General features: G+C 47.2%; 1 protein-coding gene across 3 annotated transcripts in view, besides 2 other annotated features; it reads left to right on the top strand.

Annotated features, from left to right (window-relative positions):
- Positions 1-17,147, top strand: part of TIMELESS (timeless circadian regulator) — a 33,064-nt gene extending 15,917 nt beyond the window's left edge. The window contains exons 5-29 of one of the 3 annotated variants that reach the window (NR_138471.2): positions 67-129; positions 383-484; positions 986-1,141; positions 1,906-2,039; positions 2,542-2,629; positions 3,229-3,405; positions 4,410-4,627; positions 4,858-4,961; positions 5,105-5,274; positions 8,358-8,495; positions 8,597-8,748; positions 9,616-9,713; positions 9,803-9,885; positions 10,035-10,236; positions 10,518-10,663; positions 11,319-11,404; positions 11,494-11,611; positions 11,701-11,783; positions 12,017-12,159; positions 12,376-12,547; positions 12,629-12,697; positions 12,823-12,941; positions 15,151-15,376; positions 15,502-15,603; positions 15,724-17,147. Coding sequence is in view for 2 of the 3 variants with exons in the window: in NM_003920.5 (NP_003911.2) it covers positions 67-129; positions 383-484; positions 986-1,141; positions 1,906-2,039; positions 2,542-2,629; positions 3,229-3,405; positions 4,410-4,627; positions 4,858-4,961; positions 5,105-5,274; positions 8,358-8,495; positions 8,597-8,748; positions 9,616-9,713; positions 9,803-9,926; positions 10,035-10,236; positions 10,518-10,663; positions 11,319-11,404; positions 11,494-11,611; positions 11,701-11,783; positions 12,017-12,159; positions 12,376-12,547; positions 12,629-12,697; positions 12,823-12,941; positions 15,151-15,376; positions 15,502-15,603; positions 15,724-15,794 (3,261 nt within the window). In the remaining variant the exon portion in view is untranslated. Of the gene's footprint in view, positions 1-66; positions 130-382; positions 485-985; positions 1,142-1,905; positions 2,040-2,541; positions 2,630-3,228; positions 3,406-4,409; positions 4,628-4,857; positions 4,962-5,104; positions 5,275-8,357; positions 8,496-8,596; positions 8,749-9,615; positions 9,714-9,802; positions 9,927-10,034; positions 10,237-10,517; positions 10,664-11,318; positions 11,405-11,493; positions 11,612-11,700; positions 11,784-12,016; positions 12,160-12,375; positions 12,548-12,628; positions 12,698-12,822; positions 12,942-15,150; positions 15,377-15,501; positions 15,604-15,723 lie in introns of all 3 variants that reach the window. The other 2 variants (NM_001330295.2, NM_003920.5) reach the window with 2 other exon arrangements.
- Positions 8,925-10,124: an enhancer, noted in NCBI's record as "BRD4-independent group 4 enhancer chr12:56817170-56818369 (GRCh37/hg19 assembly coordinates)". NCBI's record gives its function as "activates an origin of replication core promoter dependent on BRD2, P300/CBP, MED14 and CDK7 cofactors, and independent of BRD4, by STARR-seq in HCT116 cells {active_cell/tissue: HCT116}" and the evidence as "EXISTENCE:reporter gene assay evidence [ECO:0000049][PMID:35650434]".
- Positions 9,865-10,112: a silencer, noted in NCBI's record as "fragment chr12:56817182-56817429 (GRCh37/hg19 assembly coordinates)". NCBI's record gives its function as "represses an EF-1alpha promoter that drives an FKBP-Casp9 reporter gene in an ReSE screen in HepG2 liver carcinoma cells {active_cell/tissue: HepG2}" and the evidence as "EXISTENCE:reporter gene assay evidence [ECO:0000049][PMID:32094911]".
- Positions 17,148-17,865: the final 718 nt, after the last annotated feature.

Raw genomic sequence — 17,865 nt, 5'->3', positions numbered from 1 at the left:
TGGAATATGGGGCAGTGGTGAAGAAGTGGATGACTGCTACTTAAGATCAGGTTCCCTATTTCACAGGCCTTTGCCAGTGAGAAGGCTTTTGGAGTCCTCAGTGAAACCTTGTATGAGCTGCTGCAGCTGGTGAGTGAGTCTTCACCTTACAGGATACCATGGGACAGCATTTTGCACCTTCTCCGGGCAGAGGAGGAGATGCTGAGATATGGTCCCAGTCCTTGGGGATGTGGTAGTCCGATCCATAGTCTCTGGCTGCCTCAGTACTGTTTGAACTCTTTCTTTTTAATCCTGCTTCTCTTCTATGCCTGGGTCTTCCAGCCAGAGTACATACTGCCTGCCTTCCACAGGGAGTCTCTTCCTCTTACTCTCTTCTGGTTAGGGCTGGGAGGAACGGCAGGAGGAAGACAACTTGCTGATTGAACGGATCCTACTGCTGGTCAGAAATATTCTCCATGTCCCAGCTGACCTTGATCAGGAGAAGGTGAGGGTCTTGGGTGTTCTGTGTTCTTGTGCATGGTTAGGTTGAGCTGCCTTTTTTTTTTTTTTTTTTTTTGAGACGGAGTCTCTCTCTGTCGCCAGGCTGGAGTGCAGTGGTGCGATCTCAGCTCACTGCAAGCTCTGTCTCCTGGGTTCACGCCATTCTCCTGCCTCAGCCTCTGCCTCCTGAGTAGCTGGGACTACAGGTGCCCGCCACCATGCCTGGCTAATTTTTTTTTTTGTATTTTTAGTAGAGACAGGGTTTCACCATGTTAGCTAAGATGGCCTCGATCTCCTGACCTTGTGATCCACCCACTTTGGCCTCCCAAAGTGCTGGGATTACAGGCGTGAGCCACCGCGCCCGGCCAAGCTGCCCTTTTTGGGCTATTCTGTCCTCTGACAAGTCTGGGAGAGGAGGCTTGGTCAAAGAATGAGTTGGAGAGCTTCAAGGCAGGGCAGTGGGATTGAATGAGCTTCCTTTCTACCCTCACCACTCACTGCTCAGAAGATTGATGATGACGCCAGTGCCCATGACCAGCTCCTCTGGGCGATTCACCTCAGCGGCCTGGATGACCTGCTCCTCTTTCTGGCCAGCTCGTCTGCTGAGGAGCAATGGAGCCTACATGTGCTAGAGATTGTCTCCCTTATGTTTCGTGACCAGGTGAGACCCTGGCCTATTGCCCGAGTCCCCTCCGCCCATGTACTTTTCTGCTGTACAGCCAGAATTGCTCTTGTGATAATGGCTGCATTATCTGGGGAAGGCAGGCGACAGCAGGAGTAGCCATGTCTTGAGTTCAGTAGTACCCCCTTATTCATGGTTTTCTTTCCTTGATTTCAGTTACTCACAGTCAACCATGGTCTGAAAATATTAAGTGGAAAATTTCAGAAATAAACATTTTAGAAGTTTTAAACTTGTACATTGTTCTGAGTAGTGTGATGAAATCTTTTGTCCCTGTTTGTCCTAAACAAGATGTGAATCATCCCTCTGCCCAGCATATCCACAGTGTATACCCGCCTGTTAGTCATGTACTAGCCATCTTAGTTATCAAATTGAAAAAACATAATAGAATATGTGTATGTGCGTATATATATATGTATACATGTTCTGTTTTCTGATAACTATATATATAGCACATATATACATTCTATAAAACATAGAACGTACATGTTCTATGTATATGTGTATACACATACAAATATATATATGTATATATGAATATATACATATATATATTTCAGTACTGTCTGCAGTTTCAGGCATCCAGTGGGTGTCTTAGAACATTTCCCCCTCAGATAAGGGAGAACGACAGCACAATGCCCCATTAATGGGGTTCTATTTTGTTCACTCTTTGCATCCCCAGTAGGCGTGAACTCAGGATAAGGAATGACTGTCCTCCTGATTCTTCCCTCTTTGTTCCAATCTAGAACCCCGAGCAGCTGGCGGGAGTAGGGCAGGGACGCTTAGCTCAGGAGCGGAGTGCAGATTTTGCAGAACTGGAGGTGTTGCGCCAGCGAGAGATGGCAGAAAAGAAGACTCGAGCCCTCCAGCGAGGCAACAGGTGAGTGACAGAGAGGCAGGTTCTTTTTCCTACATCATGGAATGCTGAGGGCATAGAAGGCAAATTCTAAGGTGGGGTGATTGAACAACATTTTAGTGTTTTTTTTTTTTTTTTTTGAGACAGAATTTTGCTCTTGTCGCCCAGGCTGGAGTGCACTGGCACGATCTCTGCTCACTGCAACCTCTGTCTCCTGGGTTCAAGCGATTCTCCTGCCTCAGCCTCCCCAGTAGCTGGGACTACAGGCGCATGCCACCATGCCAGGCTAATTTTTGTATTTTTAGTAGAGACAGGGTTTCACCATGTTGGCCAGGCTGGTCTCAAACTCCCGACCTCAGGTGATCCGCCTGCCTCAGCCTCCCAAAGTGCTGGGATTATAGGCGTGAGCCACCGTGCCCGACCAACATTTTGTAGTTTTAACTTGCTCCAATGTGCCGATGATAGAGAATGGAGATAAAGTTTCCAGAGAACTGAAAAATCACCTTGGACCTTTTTGTTTCTGCAGGCATTCTCGATTTGGGGGCTCCTATATTGTCCAGGGGTTGAAATCCATTGGGGAGAGGGACCTCATCTTTCACAAAGGCCTTCACAACGTGAGTATTCTTACATCTGGAGTGGGAACATAGTGGAGTTGCATAGCTTAAGCAGGGTAATCATCTTAAGAGTTCTTGGCTGTGCCTGGTGGCTCACACTTGTGGTCCCAGCACTTTGGGAGGCTGAGGCAGGAGGATTGCTTGAGCCCAGAAGTTCAAGATCAGACTGGGCAACATGGCAAGACCCTGTCTCTAAAAAAAAAATTAAATTAAAGGTTGGGTACAATGGCTCATGCCTGTAATCTTAACACTTTGAGAAGCTAAGGAAGGAGAATTGCTTGAGCCCAGGAGTTCGAGACCAGCCTGGGCAACATGGCAAAACCCTGTCCCTACAACAAGTGAAAAATACTAACTGAGCATGGTGGCACCCGCCTGTGGTCCTGACTACTCGGGAGGCTGAGGTGGGAGGATTCCTTGAGCCCAGGAGTTCAAGGCTCCAGTGTGCTATGATTGCATCATTACACTCCAGCCTGGGTGACAGAGCAAGTTCTTGTCTCAAAAGAAAAACAAAAATTAGTTTCTTCTGAGAAAATTGACGAGAGCTGCAAGGGGAAAGTGGTATTTAGGAGTAATTCTAATCCCCCAACCGACACACCCAGCTACGAAACTACAGTTCAGATTTGGGAAAGCAGCCGAAAAAGGTGCCTAAACGTCGCCAGGCCGCCCGAGAGCTGTCCATTCAGCGCCGTTCTGCCCTCAATGTGAGGCTCTTCCTCAGAGACTTCTGCTCTGAGTTCCTGGAGAACTGTTACAACCGGCTCATGGGATCAGTAAAGGTGAGAACCTGTGAAGGATATGGAGATAATCAGGAATGGAATAGACAGGTGATGATGCAGCTGTTGGTGGGTAAGAAGTGGGGAGGAGCTCGGGGAGGCTGCCCCTGGAATGTGGACTCGTAGGTGGGAAGGATATACAGTTAGGATGTCCCTGAGAGATAGTGAAAATGCCAGGAACGAGTGGGCTCCTGGCATGACAAAAGAGGCTCTGGAAAAATTGCCTCAGAGGGAGAGGAAAGGGAGAACAGGAGAGAGTTGGAAATTGTGGATCCTAGAGTATTATAGCGGTGTCCCGGCGTGGTGGCTCACACCTGTAATCCCAGCGCTTTGAGAGGCTGAGGCAGTGGATCACTTGAGGTCAGGAGTTCAAGACCAACCTGGCCAATATGGTGAAACCGTATCTCTACTAAAAAAAAAAATACAAAAAAAAAAAAAAATTAGCCGGCATGGTGGTGTGCATTTGTAGTCCCAGTTACTCAGGAGCCTGAGGCAGGATAATCACTTGAACCTGGGAGGCAGAGGTTGCAGTGAGCCGAGATCAGACCAGTGCACTCCAGCCTCATCATGACAGTGCAAGACTGTCAAAAAAAAAAAAAAAAAAAAAAAAGACCAGGCGCAGTGGCTCACGCCTGTAATACCAGCACTTTGGGAGTCCAAGGCAGGTGGATCACCTGAGGTCAGGAGTTTGAGACCAGCCTGCAACATGGTGAAACCCCATCTCTACTGAAAATACAAAAAATTAACTGGGCGTGGTGGCGGGCACCTATAATCCCAGCTACCCAGGAGGCTGAGGCAGGAGAATCGCTTGAACCCAGGAGGTGGAAGTTGCGGTGAGCCGAGATCATGCCATTGCACTCCAGCCTGGGCAATAGAGTGAGACTCCGCCTCAAAAAAAAAAAAATTATGACGGTGTCCAGCATCCATTCCATCATCATAGGACAGGAAGGAAGAAGTTGGAAGCCCTGGAGTCATGGTGATCTTTTTTTTTCTTTTTTAAATGTCAGGATCACCTGCTTCGGGAGAAAGCTCAGCAGCATGATGAGACCTATTATATGTGGGCCTTGGCTTTCTTCATGGCCTTCAACCGAGCTGCCTCCTTCCGGCCAGGCCTGGTTTCTGAGACCCTCAGTGTCCGTACCTTCCACTTCATTGAGCAGAACCTCACCAACTACTATGAGATGATGCTGACTGACCGCAAGGAAGCTGCCTCCTGGGCACGCCGGTGAGTGGGATGGTTACTGGAGATACAGTGAGCTAGGGATCTGAATGCTTGAATTCTGGCTGGTGCTTTTTTCCTGATTCAGGGTTCAGGTGATCAGTCTGGGGAGCAAGGACTGGCTGGGAAATTTAGTTTGGGTGGCACATTTTTTTTTTTCGCTGTGGGAAGTTGCTGTTTCCATGGGCCATTGCCCTAAGCTGTCCTCCATTTCACCGTTTCCCGTCAACTCTCAGGATGCACTTGGCTCTGAAGGCCTATCAGGAGCTGCTGGCAACAGTGAATGAGATGGACATATCTCCAGATGAGGCTGTGAGGGAGAGCAGCCGCATCATCAAGAGTGAGGCCCTGGCCTGGTCCCCGATCCCAGCCTGTCCCATCTCGTGATGAGAATCTCATTCTTCCCAGTCCCAGCTTCATCCATCTCTCCTTTTCAAGCTTTCCAGAATAGCCCTTCCATCCCTTTCTCTTCCCCATTCCTAGACAATATTTTCTATGTGATGGAGTACCGAGAACTATTCCTGGCACTTTTTCGAAAGTTTGATGAGAGATGCCAGCCCCGCTCTTTCCTTCGTGACCTGGTGGAGACCACCCACCTCTTCCTCAAAATGTTGGAGCGATTCTGTCGGAGCCGTGGGAACCTGGTGGTGCAGGTACTGGGCAGCCCCACAATGTAGAAAGAGCTGTAAGGGAGAGTCAAGGAAGGGGGGCTCTTTCTTCTCACAGTTTGTACAGCTTAAGTTCATCTGTTAAACGTGCTCTGAACTACGACAGCAAGAGGTTTGTGGGTGTTGGCCAGTGTGAGTCTACTACAGTTTCCTTCTCCCATTAGAATAATCTCTGATCTGCCATAAATATTTTAGTTCAGTCAGGAAACATTTATTGAACACCTACCACATGCCAAGTACAAAAACCCTGGGGATTCATAATTTTAGAGTCTAATAATTATGCTATAGCATTTTCTGGTTATACCTTGAAAGCATTGTGGTGAGGTGGAAAGAGCCTTAAATTGCGGCCAGGCATGGTGGCGCACACCTGTAATCCCCGCGCTTGAGGAGGCCAAGGTGGGCAGATTACTTGAGGTCAGGGGTTCAAGACCAGCCTGGCCAACATGGTGAAACCCCGTCTCTACTAAAAATACAAAAATTAGCCAGGCGTGTTGATGCACACCTGTAATCCCAGCTACTCAGAAGGCTGAGACAGAATCGCTTGAATCCAGGAGGTGGAGATTGCAGTGAGCCAAGATCATGTCACTGCACTCCAGACTGGGTGACACAGTGAGACTCTGTCTCAACAGCAACACAAAGAGAGCCTTAAATTGAACTTTAGAAAGTCTGGAATCTAGTCCTGTATTGGTTATTATTGGAATAAGCTCAAGCTGGTCGTGTCGGTCTCCAGATCCATAAAGTTGGGATTGTGACAGTTGTCCATGAACCCAAAGTGGAATCAGTGAAAAGCCTAGGACAGGCTGGGCACAGTGGCTCATGCCTGTAATCCCAGCACTTTGGGAGGCCACAGTGGGTGGATCATTTGAGGCCAGGAGTTTGAGACCAGCCTGGGCAACATGACAAAACTCCTTCTCTACTAAAAATACAAAAATTAGCTGGGTGTGATGGCACGCACCTGTAGTCCCAGCTATTTGGGAAGCTGAGGCACGAGAATTGCTTGAACCCATGAGGCAGAGGTTGCAGTAGGCCAAGATCATGCCACTGCACTCCAGTCTGGGCCACAGAGCAAGACTCTGTCTCAACAAAAAACAAAAACAATTCACCAGCATGGTGGCACATACCTGTAGTCCCAGCTGCTCAGGAGGCTGAAGCACGAGGATCACTGGAACTTAGGAGTTTGAGGATGCAGTGAGCTGTGATTGAGACATTGCACTCCAGTCTGGGTGAGACCAAGACCCTATCTCTGAAAAATAAAATTATTGGTTCACATTAAAATAAAAAAAACCCTGGGACAAAATGCAAACTCCAAGGAATTTGTATCCTGGAAACACAGAGACTTTGCTTTGTATAAACAGATTTTGGGCCAGGCGCGGTGGCTCATGCCTGTAATCCCAGCACTTTGGGAGGCTGAGGCGGGCAGATCACTTGAGGTCAGGAGTTCACGACCAGCCTGGCCAACATGGTGAAACCCTGTCTCTACTAAAAATACAAAAATTAGCCAGGCATGGTCATGCGCACCTGTAATCCCAGCTTCTTGGGAGGCTGAAGTGGGAGAATCACTTGAACCCGGGAGGCGGAGGTTGCAGTGAGCCAAGATCATGCCATTGCACTCCAGCCTGGGCAACAGAGCAAGACTCCGTCTCAAAAAACAAACAAACAAACAAAAATTAGCCTGGCGTGGTGGCACACACCTGTAATCCCAGGTACTTGGGAGGCTGAGGCAGGAGAATCGCTTGAACCCAGGTGGCAGAGGTTGCAGTGAGCCGAGATCACGCCATTGCACTCCAGCCTGGGCAACAAGAGTGAAATTCTGTCTTAAAAAAAAAAAAAAAAAAGATTTTGTACCAGAACCTTCCTATAACTCTAGTTGCTACAGCTTAAAATTCTGTCATAACTGGACTTGAAAGATGCAGTAGTACCAACGAGACTTTGCTAAAGGGTATTTTTGCACTCAGAGCTCTGTGGTATTATCTGTAATACTAGGTACTATCATTTATTGAGCATTTACTGTGTGTCAGACACTGTGCTGACGTTTTCATGTAATCCTCACAGTAGCGCATGTGCCCAAAGTGGTTAAGCAACTTGTCCAAAGTCTTGTTAGTAATACTAATTCAATACTCAAATCCAGATCTGCTGGACTCCATGCTCCTAAGTTTTGGTGTGTTTGATTGTAAGTTCTTTAATGGAGCATGACCTTCAGGGGCCTCTCAGTTCATCCTGTTTGACTTTTCAGTACCCACACCAAAGACTGGTTCACAGCCCTGACTTGGGAGAAGCAGGATTTGGGTATTGACTCACTCTCCTGCTTTTCTTTTTTTTAATTATTTATTTATTTATTTATTTTTTTAAGCAGGGTCTCGCTCTGTTACCTAAGCTGGAGTGCAGTGGCTGAATCTCAGCTCACTGCAACCTCTCCTTCCCGTGCCCAAGCGATTCTTCTGCCTCGGCCTCCCAAGTAGCTGGGACTACAGGTACACACCACCATGCCTGGCTAATTTTTGTATTTTTTGTAGACACAGGGTCTCGCTGTGTTGCCCAGGCTGGTCTTGAACTCCTGACCTCAAGCGATCCACCTGCCTAGGCTTCCCAAAGTGTTGGGACTACAGGTGTGAGCCACTGCGCCTGGCTGTCCTACTTTTCAGGAGAAAAAATTAGAGGCTTTATTTACATAGTGCTTTGCATTTTATGAAGCTTTTCCATGTGTCTTATTTGATCCTCATAGCATCTGCTTATTCTGTAGACCTCTTGAGATAGCACTGCTTTTGGCAAACCTCTGAACTCAGGAAATGGGTCAGGAGTTTTGCCATGACATCTTATGCTCACTCACATTATAGCTTTTATCCACACTCTAGTGTAATTACCTTTCTACTTCCTGTCTCCACCACTAGAGTAAAAGCTCCTCAAAGGGAAGGAAATATGCTGTTCACTATTGCTTTCTATTACCGATGGATAGCAGATAATGGGCACTCTGTGAATGTCCAGTTAATTAGTTTTGTAATAGAAAAGACACTGATGGGGAAAGCCCTCTTTAGCTCTCTTGACATCCTAATACAATTCTTTCCCCACAGAACAAACAAAAGAAGAGAAGGAAGAAGAAGAAGAAGGTCCTAGACCAGGCCATTGTTTCTGGTAATGTCCCATCTAGCCCAGAAGAAGTGGAGGCTGTGTGGCCAGCCCTGGCTGAGCAGCTACAGTGCTGTGCCCAGGTAGGTGGTTACAGAAACCCTGTCTTTTTTGAGAATAGTGCTCAGGGTATACAATCTGGGTTTTCCACTCCCTCCGCTCCCATAGCTTTATCCATCTCTAGAATTCTGAGCTCAGCATGGACTCCGTGGTTCCCTTTGATGCGGCCTCAGAGGTGCCAGTGGAGGAGCAGCGGGCAGAAGCTATGGTACGGATCCAAGACTGTCTCCTGGCTGGCCAGGCCCCACAGGCCCTGACTCTCCTGAGGTCTGCTCGGTAAGAACCCTGCCTGCTCATCCTCTTGGGCTTTGGGGGAAGGAGGAGGCCATCACTGCGGTACAGTGTTCTCAGTCTTCAAAAGAGAGTTGTCTCATCAAGGCTCTGGGACTGTATACCAACTGACTCCTGGGGCGTTTTGATTGGTTTGTTGGGTTTTTTTGTTTCTGAAAAACATTAAAAAAGCATAGTTAATTGAGAAAAAAATAAAGAAAGCAAATCCTCACTTGACATCATCAATAAGTCCTTGGTAATTGCAGCTTTGAGTAAAATGACCTACGGCATGTTTCTTATAACGTTAAGAGAAAAAAAACTGGTTTTGTTATACATTGTTTCACTTAAAGTGGCAGTATCCAAGAACCTATTGAAGACATTAAGGGCGGACTTAACTTTAATTCTAGTAGCCAAAGATATGCATCATTAACATTTTGATGAGTAACCATCCAGAGGTTTTTTTGCTCCGTTACATGTAAAAATATCGTATATACCTTGTTTTACAAAAATGAAATACTGTACATGCTGATTTATAGTAATTTTTCACTTCTCAGTATATTATGAGCATGATTTCTCATCAGATATATTTCTGTAATTGTTAATGGCTTTAAAACACCATTGTGTGAATATGTACATTTGTTCAACCAGGTGTCAAACATTTAGATTGTTTGCATTTTGTTCTTAGCTGGTTTTTATTGAATTGTGGCTTATGAGGAAAATTTTCCCTGGAGTCTTTGTTTCATTTGAGGTAACAGTTTGCATTCTGTTTCTGGCCAACAAAAGAAATAAGTCTAAATTCCTTCTTCTACTTCGAATTATAAATTTAAAGCCAGATTTCCCCTGGGTAAAGCCTTTTTTCTATCTGTGCTCCAGGGAGGTGTGGCCTGAAGGAGATGTGTTTGGCTCTCAAGACATTTCTCCAGAGGAAGAGATCCAGTTGCTGAAACAAATCCTCTCTGCTCCACTTCCCCGTGAGTCTCCACCCTTCACATCTGTCTCCTTCCAGCTCTTTTCTAGCACCAACATAACAGAGACTCAGTAATCCTCCCTCTGTCTATAGGGCAGCAGGGCCCAGAGGAACGTGGGGCAGAGGAAGAAGAAGAGGAGGAGGAGGAGGAAGAGGAGGAGTTGCAAGTGGTCCAGGTGTCGGAGAAAGAATTTAATTTTCTGGACTACCTGAAACGGTGCGGGCTGAGAGGCCTGAGTTGGTCCTAGAGTGGCGATTGTGCGGCTGTGAGGATGAGCTATGTCTTCCTTATGCTGACATCCTCTCCCTCCTTGTTTTGGTGCAGCTTTGCATGTTCAACTGTCGTTCGAGCCTATGTGCTGCTACTAAGGAGCTACCAGCAGAATAGTGCCCACACTAACCATTGCATTGTGAAGATGCTGCACCGGCTGGCCCATGACCTCAAAATGGAAGCCCTACTTTTTCAGCTGTCAGTCTTCTGCCTCTTCAATCGTCTGCTTAGTGACCCTGCTGCTGGAGCCTACAAAGTGAGGGGATAACAAGGAATGGGGTTCTGGAAGGGTATGGGAACCCTCAGGTAAATAAATAATCTTCAGGAGATAGAAGGTGCTGAGAGGTGTCAAGGGCTGGGAGATGGGAAAACAATGAGAAAGTAGACAGGCAGGTTGAGGGAGCTGCATGGAGAAGGACAGAAGAGAGTGAGTGAGGAGGGGGCAGCTGGGAACAGCTATAGAGAAAATACCTAGAGGGCCAGGTTCGGGTCTGCATTGGACCAGAGAGGCCTCATAGTAACCTCCTTCTCCTACAGGAGCTAGTGACTTTTGCCAAATACATCCTGGGCAAATTTTTTGCACTGGCTGCAGTCAACCAAAAAGCCTTTGTGGAGCTGTTGTTCTGGAAGAACACAGCTGTGGTTCGAGAGATGACTGAGGGCTATGGCTCCCTGGATGACAGGTGAGCTTGAAGTTGGCAAAGGGTGGGTGGGGGTAGGGGAAGTTTGATGCAGAGTCACAGAATGTCAAAGCTGTTAAGAGCTTGCATGTCATTTAGCCCACTGTTTCTTTCCCTATTATGGGTGAGAGAACAGGCTCAGGAGGTGAAATGCTTTACCTAAAGTTATCCAAGAGAGGAGCAGGGACTGGAGCCTAAGTCTAGTGTGTATCTAGTTTCCTTCTCCATCACCAGCCTCCATAGAGGTAGTCACTGTTGGGAGCTGGGTGGTTGCCCAGAGGGAGTCTGTGTGCGACCTCTCCCAAAATGTGCTGGGAAACCATGAGGATTTGTAGAAATGTTTGTCCTCTTTCCCTTAGTATCTCAGCCCCTCTCCTTTCACACTTAGTCTCTTTTTCCCATAATATTCTCAGTCCCTAGAGTCAGAATGGTCAGGGTTCCATTGGCCCAACCTGGAAAATCTCTTAGTTTGACTTTTAGGTTCTTACGTGGAAGGAAAGTGAGGGGAAGGAGGCACACTGTAGGCCTCTGCTGGCTGGCCTCTTTCAGTTACCTGCCTTGTCCTTCCTGTTCTTTTCAGAACTGATCAGAGAAGGCCTTTGGTCTCCTCTTTTTGGGCCAAGAACCTATATGCTCCCTTTCTCCTTTCACCATTCAGGTCTTCCAGTCGCAGAGCACCTACATGGAGCCCCGAAGAAGAGGCTCATCTTCGGGAGCTGTACCTCGCCAATAAGGACGTGGAAGGTGAGAGGCCTTGGGATCTGGAGAGTTTATGAGGAGGGCAGCTTGAGCTGTGGGACCTTCTTTACTGCCTTAGTCCTTCCCCACGCCAGGGCAGGATGTGGTGGAAGCCATCTTGGCCCACCTGAATACTGTTCCTCGAACACGCAAGCAGATCATCCACCATCTGGTACAGATGGGACTGGCTGACAGTGTCAAGGACTTCCAAAGGTAGAGAGGCACATGCTCTGGAGGCTATTGGGATGGGGACTCGTGATCACTTCCTGGGCTTCCTCTTCCACTGACACCTTCCTAATCAGGAAAGGAACCCATATTGTACTGTGGACGGGGGATCAGGAGTTGGAGCTGCAGCGGCTTTTTGAGGAATTCCGGGACTCAGATGGTGAGTAAGCTGGAAACTCAGGGGACCTTTGAGATGAAAGCCAAGCTATCCATTTATTTTGGGGCTGCCTTTTATTCCCAAGGAAAGATTCTCCCATCCCTTCTGTTCACTTACTATATTTGTAAGTGTCATTTTTGGATGAATTGAGGTACCCTCTTTCCAGAGACCTCTGATTTATTTTACTCATCTCTTTCCCTGTTACCCTTGGGTATTCACATGCTTGCTTTTTATAGATGTCCTGGGTCATATCATGAAGAATATCACAGCCAAACGCTCACGGGCCCGAATAGTGGATAAACTCTTGGCTCTGGGGCTGGTGGCTGAGCGGCGGGAGCTGTACAAGAAACGGCAGAAAAAGTTGGCATCCTCCATCTTGGTAACAATCTGACCCTAGCTCTGCTGGCATGGGCTCACTTCCCTTGAAGTGGTCCTTAGGAGCAGTCCACCTGGATTCTTCCTGCCTGAGGCTGTTCTGACCAGGTCCTTCCGAGAGAGCAGGCGCGGGGGGGTGCGGTGGTCAGGAACGAGGAGACTCCACTAAGTTCCTTGTGTTGCCTTCATTTTCATTCCCCCAACCCCCAATGAATTTTAGCCAAATGGAGCGGAGTCCCTGAAAGATTTTTGCCAGGAAGATCTGGAAGAAGAGGAAAACCTGCCTGAGGAAGACAGCGAAGAGGAAGAAGAAGGGGGCTCAGAAGCAGAACAAGTCCAGGGTAGCTTAGTCCTTTCAAATGAAAACCTTGGTCAAAGCCTGCATCAGGAAGGTGAGGACTTTGGCTGGGAGAGATGTCTCAGGTGGAGGGCTTGGGAGTAGGGTCAAATGTAAGTTTCCCTCATTTCCTTAGGCTTTTCTATCCCGCTCCTATGGCTCCAGAACTGCCTGATCCGAGCAGCTGATGATCGGGAAGAGGATGGTGAGTGGACAGGTGACACTTTTAGGAGAAGAGCCCTGGAGGCTATTGGAGACCTACCTGGTCATGGGATGGAGAACCAGTTCTTCCCTTATATCTTCACCATATGACTATTGACCCTGTCTTAGGCTGCTCCCAGGCCGTTCCATTGGTGCCACTCACAGAGGAAAATGAGGAAGCCATGGAAAACGAACAGTTTCAGCAGCTGTTGCGCAAGCTAGGGGTTCGGCCCCCTGCCTCTGGGCAGGTAAATATGTCAGTTACAGTGTCAACCAAGGCGTGTTAGTCCTATTTCCAAATACATCTCCTCCTCCTCCTCACTGTCATGGTGGTCCTCCTTATCCTTATCGTCATCTTGGTCCTTCTCATTGTCTTGTCATCTCTGACCAAGATTCCTGCAGCAGCCATTCTGCTAGTCTTCTTTTCCTCTCTCTAATCTCCCCTTCCCCTAGATCCATCTTCCAGACTGCCTCCAGATTTATCTTTTTAAAATATAGTCTTGATTACAGTTGTCCCTTAGTGTCTGAGAGGGGATTGGTTCCAGGACCCCCCTGCCCACAGATACCAAAATCTATAGATGCTGAAGTCCCTTTTTGTAGTATTTGTAAATAACCTAGGTACAACCTGTATACTTCGTCATTTCTAGATTACATATAATACCTATACAATGTAAATGTTAGGTAAATAATTGTTATACTGTATTGTAAATATATATATATACATTTTATTTATATATATATATATACACACACACACACACACACACATATATATATATATATATATTTTTTTTTTTTTTTTTTTTTTTTGAGACAGAGTCTCACTCCATCACCCAGGCTGGAGTGCAGTGGCTCAGTCTCAGCTCACTGTCGCCTCAACCTCCCAGACTCAGGTGATCCTCCCACCTCAGCCTCCTGAGTAGCTGGGACTACAGGCCTATATTACCACTCCCAGCTAATTTTTTGTATTTTTTGTAGAGATGGGGTTATGCCATGTTGCCCAGGCTGTGTATTATTGTTTAATGTTGTATTGTTATTTTTTTTTAATATTGTCGATCTACAGTGGTTTGAATCCACAGACTCAGAACTTGTGGATATGGAGGGTCAAGTCCTCTGTCCAGAGCCATTGATGGTTCCTTACTGCTTGCAGGACAGAATCCACAAACTCCAAATGGCATCCCCATCCTTGGCCAACCTTTGCAGCCTCACAGCCACACCACTCACACACCGACTTTACATCATAGTCACCCTGGTAGGCTTTTTCATGCCTCCAAATGGTTAATCATGCCAGTCCCTCTATTGGAAGGCTGCAACCGTGCACACAGGGTGACACACACACACACACACACACACACACTCCATCTGTCTTACTGATGGACCTCTACCCAGTCTTCAAGAGTCTGCTCAATTGTCACCTTGTCAGAGAAGCAGTCCTTGTCATTCTTTCAACCCCTGAAGTAAAAATAATCACTTTTGCAGCTGTGATTTGTTCATGCCCCTGATGCAGCCTTAATCCTGTGGAATCTGCTGGGTATGGTGGCTCACGCCTGTAACCCCAGCACTTTGGGAGGCTGAGGCAGGCGGATCACCTGAGGTCAGGAGTTCAAGACCAGCCTGGCCAACATGGCAAAACCCTGTCTCTACTAAAAATACAAAAATTAGCCCGGTGTGGTGGTAGGCACCTGTAGTCCCACCTACTTGGGAGGCTGAGGCAGGAGAATTGCTTGAACCCAGGAGGGTGAGCCTTTATTGCTTTGCCACGGCACTCTAGCCTGGGCAACAGAGTGAGACTCTGCCTCAAAAAGAAAAAAAAAAAAATCCTGTGATACTACAGTACATTTGTTCTTTTTCCCATTGGATTGTGAGTTATTTGATAGCAAGGATCATACCTGATTCACCTTTACATCCCCAGGATTTATTTATTTATTTATTTATTCAATTGACAACTATAGCCAGGTGTAGTGGCTCATGCCTGTAATCCCAGCACTTTGGGAGGCTGAGGTGGGAGGATCGTTTGAGACTGGCCTGGGCAACACAGCAAGACCCTGTCTCTACAAAAAATTTTAAGTAGTTGGGCATCATGGTGGCATGCACCCCTGTGGTCCTGGCTACTTGAGAGGCTGAGGCAGGAGGATAGCTTGATCCCAAGAGATCGAGACTACAGTGGACCATGATTGTGCCACTGCACTTCAGCCTGAGTGACAGAGGCAGACCCCTTCTCATTTAAAAAAAAAAAAAAAAAAAGAACAACCAAAAAAACCTATAACTGGGAACCTCCTAATGTAGCAGGCACTGTGCTAGGCACTGGGTATATATTAGATAGTAAGTATTATAATAAATAGAGTTCACAACCCTTGTGGATCTTCACCAATATTGGGTCATATATATTCAATGAATATCATACTCTGGGAAACAAAAAGCTGGTCCTTTCCCTTTTCAACTTTTTGGCCCCTGTAGGAAACCTTCTGGCGAATTCCAGCCAAGCTGAGTCCTACCCAGCTCCGGAGGGCAGCAGCTTCTTTGAGTCAACCAGAGGAGGAACAGAAGCTGCAGCCAGAGCTGCAGCCTAAAGTCCCTGGAGAGCAAGGCTCTGATGAGGAGCACTGTAAAGAGCACCGAGCACAAGCCCTGAGGGCCCTCTTGCTAGCCCACAAGAAGAAAGCGGGCCTGGCATCCCCAGAGGGTAATAGTGCGACAGCCATCTTCTGAGTATTAACGTGTCAGCCATGTTGGTCTAGAGGGCAGGAAAGGTGTTCTGAGAATATGAGGACCGAGTTCCTAATTTTGTGTCATTTATGGTCATTGCAGAGGAAGACGCTGTTGGTAAAGAGCCGCTGAAGGCAGCACCCAAGAAACGACAATTGCTGGACAGCGACGAGGAACAGGAAGAAGATGAGGGCAGGAACAGAGGTAGGGAATTTGATGGGACCTTCTTTTTCTTCTCTAATCCTGAAGACAAACTCTACCACGTCCTTACCCCTTAACATATTTAGATATTCTCTCTCTCTCTCACCCCCATCGTTCCCACAGCACCAGAGTTGGGAGCTCCAGGAATCCAAAAGAAGAAACGATACCAGATTGAGGATGATGAGGATGACTGAAGAGCTAAGAAGCCTAGGGGTAGAGATAGACACGTTTTTAGATGGTGCATTCAAGTCAGAGTTGGAAGGGTCATACAGGACCCAGAAGCTCCTCTTACTGGACAGAGCAGTAGAATCCCAGGCTCTTTCACGGATTTAGGCTGAGAAACTTCAGCAGCAGTATTGGACTTCTCTGCTGTCAGTCTTTGTTTCTCCCAGTTTTTATCGGTATGCCCCAGCAGCTCTCTGGAGATTTAGTTCTCTTCTTCTAGGAACCATTTCTTTTGGTTATTGGAGCTCCTTAGCAAATAAGAGGAGTGAGTGAAATAGAGAAAGCACCCCGGACCCCTTTTATTGGTCTGTTCCTTTGGCTTTCTCTTGGAGGTGGGTCGCAGCACCAGATGGGGAGCTTTATGACATGACAGGCGGGAGTTTTGTACCACTTTTAGAAGATACCAGATGCCTCTGTCCTCATTTTGTTTCCTATGATCATCCTCTAGATACCAGATAGAGGCCCATTCCTGCATTTGAGATAGGGTTGGAATATAGTACTCTAGATGATGAATGTGTTTGCTTTGTGTTTGGTATTAAACATGTAAGATTAGAAGTTCTCATCTCAGTCTGACTTGGCGATATGTCTAAGTTCCCCAGCCCTTCCCCTGCTGTGCTCTTGAAAGAAGAACTTAACAATTTTAGGGTAAAAAGAGACCAACAGACCGGCACAGTGGCTCAAACCTGTTGTCCTAGCACTTTGGGAGGCTGAGGCGGGCGGATCACCTGAGGTCAGGAGTTTGAGACCGGCCTGGACAATATGGCGAAATCCCATCTCCACTAAAAATACAAAAATTAGCCGGCCATGGTGGCATGCGCCTGTAATCCCAGCCACTCGGGTGGCTGAGGCAGGAGAATTGCCTGAACCCAGGAGGCAGAGGTTGCAGTGAGCTAAGGTCACGCCAGTGCATATGCCTGGGCGACAGAGCAAGACTCTGTCTCAAAAAAAAAGAAAAAAAAAAAAGACCAACAACCTTCCCTTTTCTTCCGCTTTCCCTACAGAAGACACAGAAAAGCATTTTTGCCTCTAGATCCTTTTGTCTAGGGTAAATTCTTAGGGTGACAAGAGTATGCGGCAGGAAGAAGGAGGAGCCATAAAGGAAGAGAAGCCAGCTTGTTGGCATGGGGCATAGAAAAGGACAAAATCTAGGCATGAAAAGGATGGATAAATACTGCAAATATTATGTTCTTACCCATTCTTGGAAACGTCAGCTTTCTTGCTTCCTGTGCTTCCAGCCGAGGTAGGGCAAAGGTGAGATTGAGAAAATAGCCATTCAGCTCAGGAAGGCTTCTAAGTAAAGGATGGATTTGGATTGCCCTGTTGCTTTGACTTTTCATTTTTATTTTTTCCTGAAAAGATGAGGATCTCCCATAGCCTCTAAAAGTGGGAGTGAAGCTATTTCCATGGTAATTGAAGTTTCCAAGGGCTAGACACTTTCTAGCTCTGGCCAGTCTTGGTGTCTCTTCATCCTGAGCTTTTCTTCACTTCGCAACCTGAGCACTGCTTCCTTCCAGCAGGGCTGCTCTGTTTTCCCTCCATGATCCGGGCTGTGCTGCTCCTTTGCTGTGTCCTGCTGTCCCCAGTATCTGCCTTTTTTTTTTTTTTTTTTTTTGGAGACGAAGTCTCGCTCTGTCACCCAGGCTGGAGTGTGGCAGCATGATCTCGGCTCGCTGCAGCCTCTGCCTGCCAGGTTCAAGTGATTCTCTTGCCTCGGCTTCCCAAGTAGCTGAAATTACAGGTACGAGCCACCACGCCCCGCAAATTTTTTGTATTTTTAGTAGAGACAGGATTTCACCACGTTGGCCAGGCTGGTCTTGAACTCCTGACCGAAGGTGATCCGCCTGCCTTGGCCTCCCAAAGTGCTGGGATTACAAGCGTGAGCCACCGTGCTCGGCCTAGCAGCTGCCTTTTTTTTTTTTTTTTTTCTTTTTTGTGATGGAATCTCACTCTGTCACCCGGGCTGGAGTGCAGTGGCGCAGTATCAGTTCACTGCAACCTCTGGCTCCTGGGTTCAAACAATTCTCCTGCCTCAGCCTCCTG

This window comes from Homo sapiens, chromosome 12, assembly GCF_000001405.40.
Source record: "Homo sapiens chromosome 12, GRCh38.p14 Primary Assembly".
NCBI classification, from domain to species: Eukaryota; Metazoa; Chordata; class Mammalia; order Primates; family Hominidae; genus Homo; species Homo sapiens.
The sequence above is the reverse complement of the archived record's forward strand: the minus strand, read 5'-3'. Positions and strand labels throughout refer to the sequence as shown.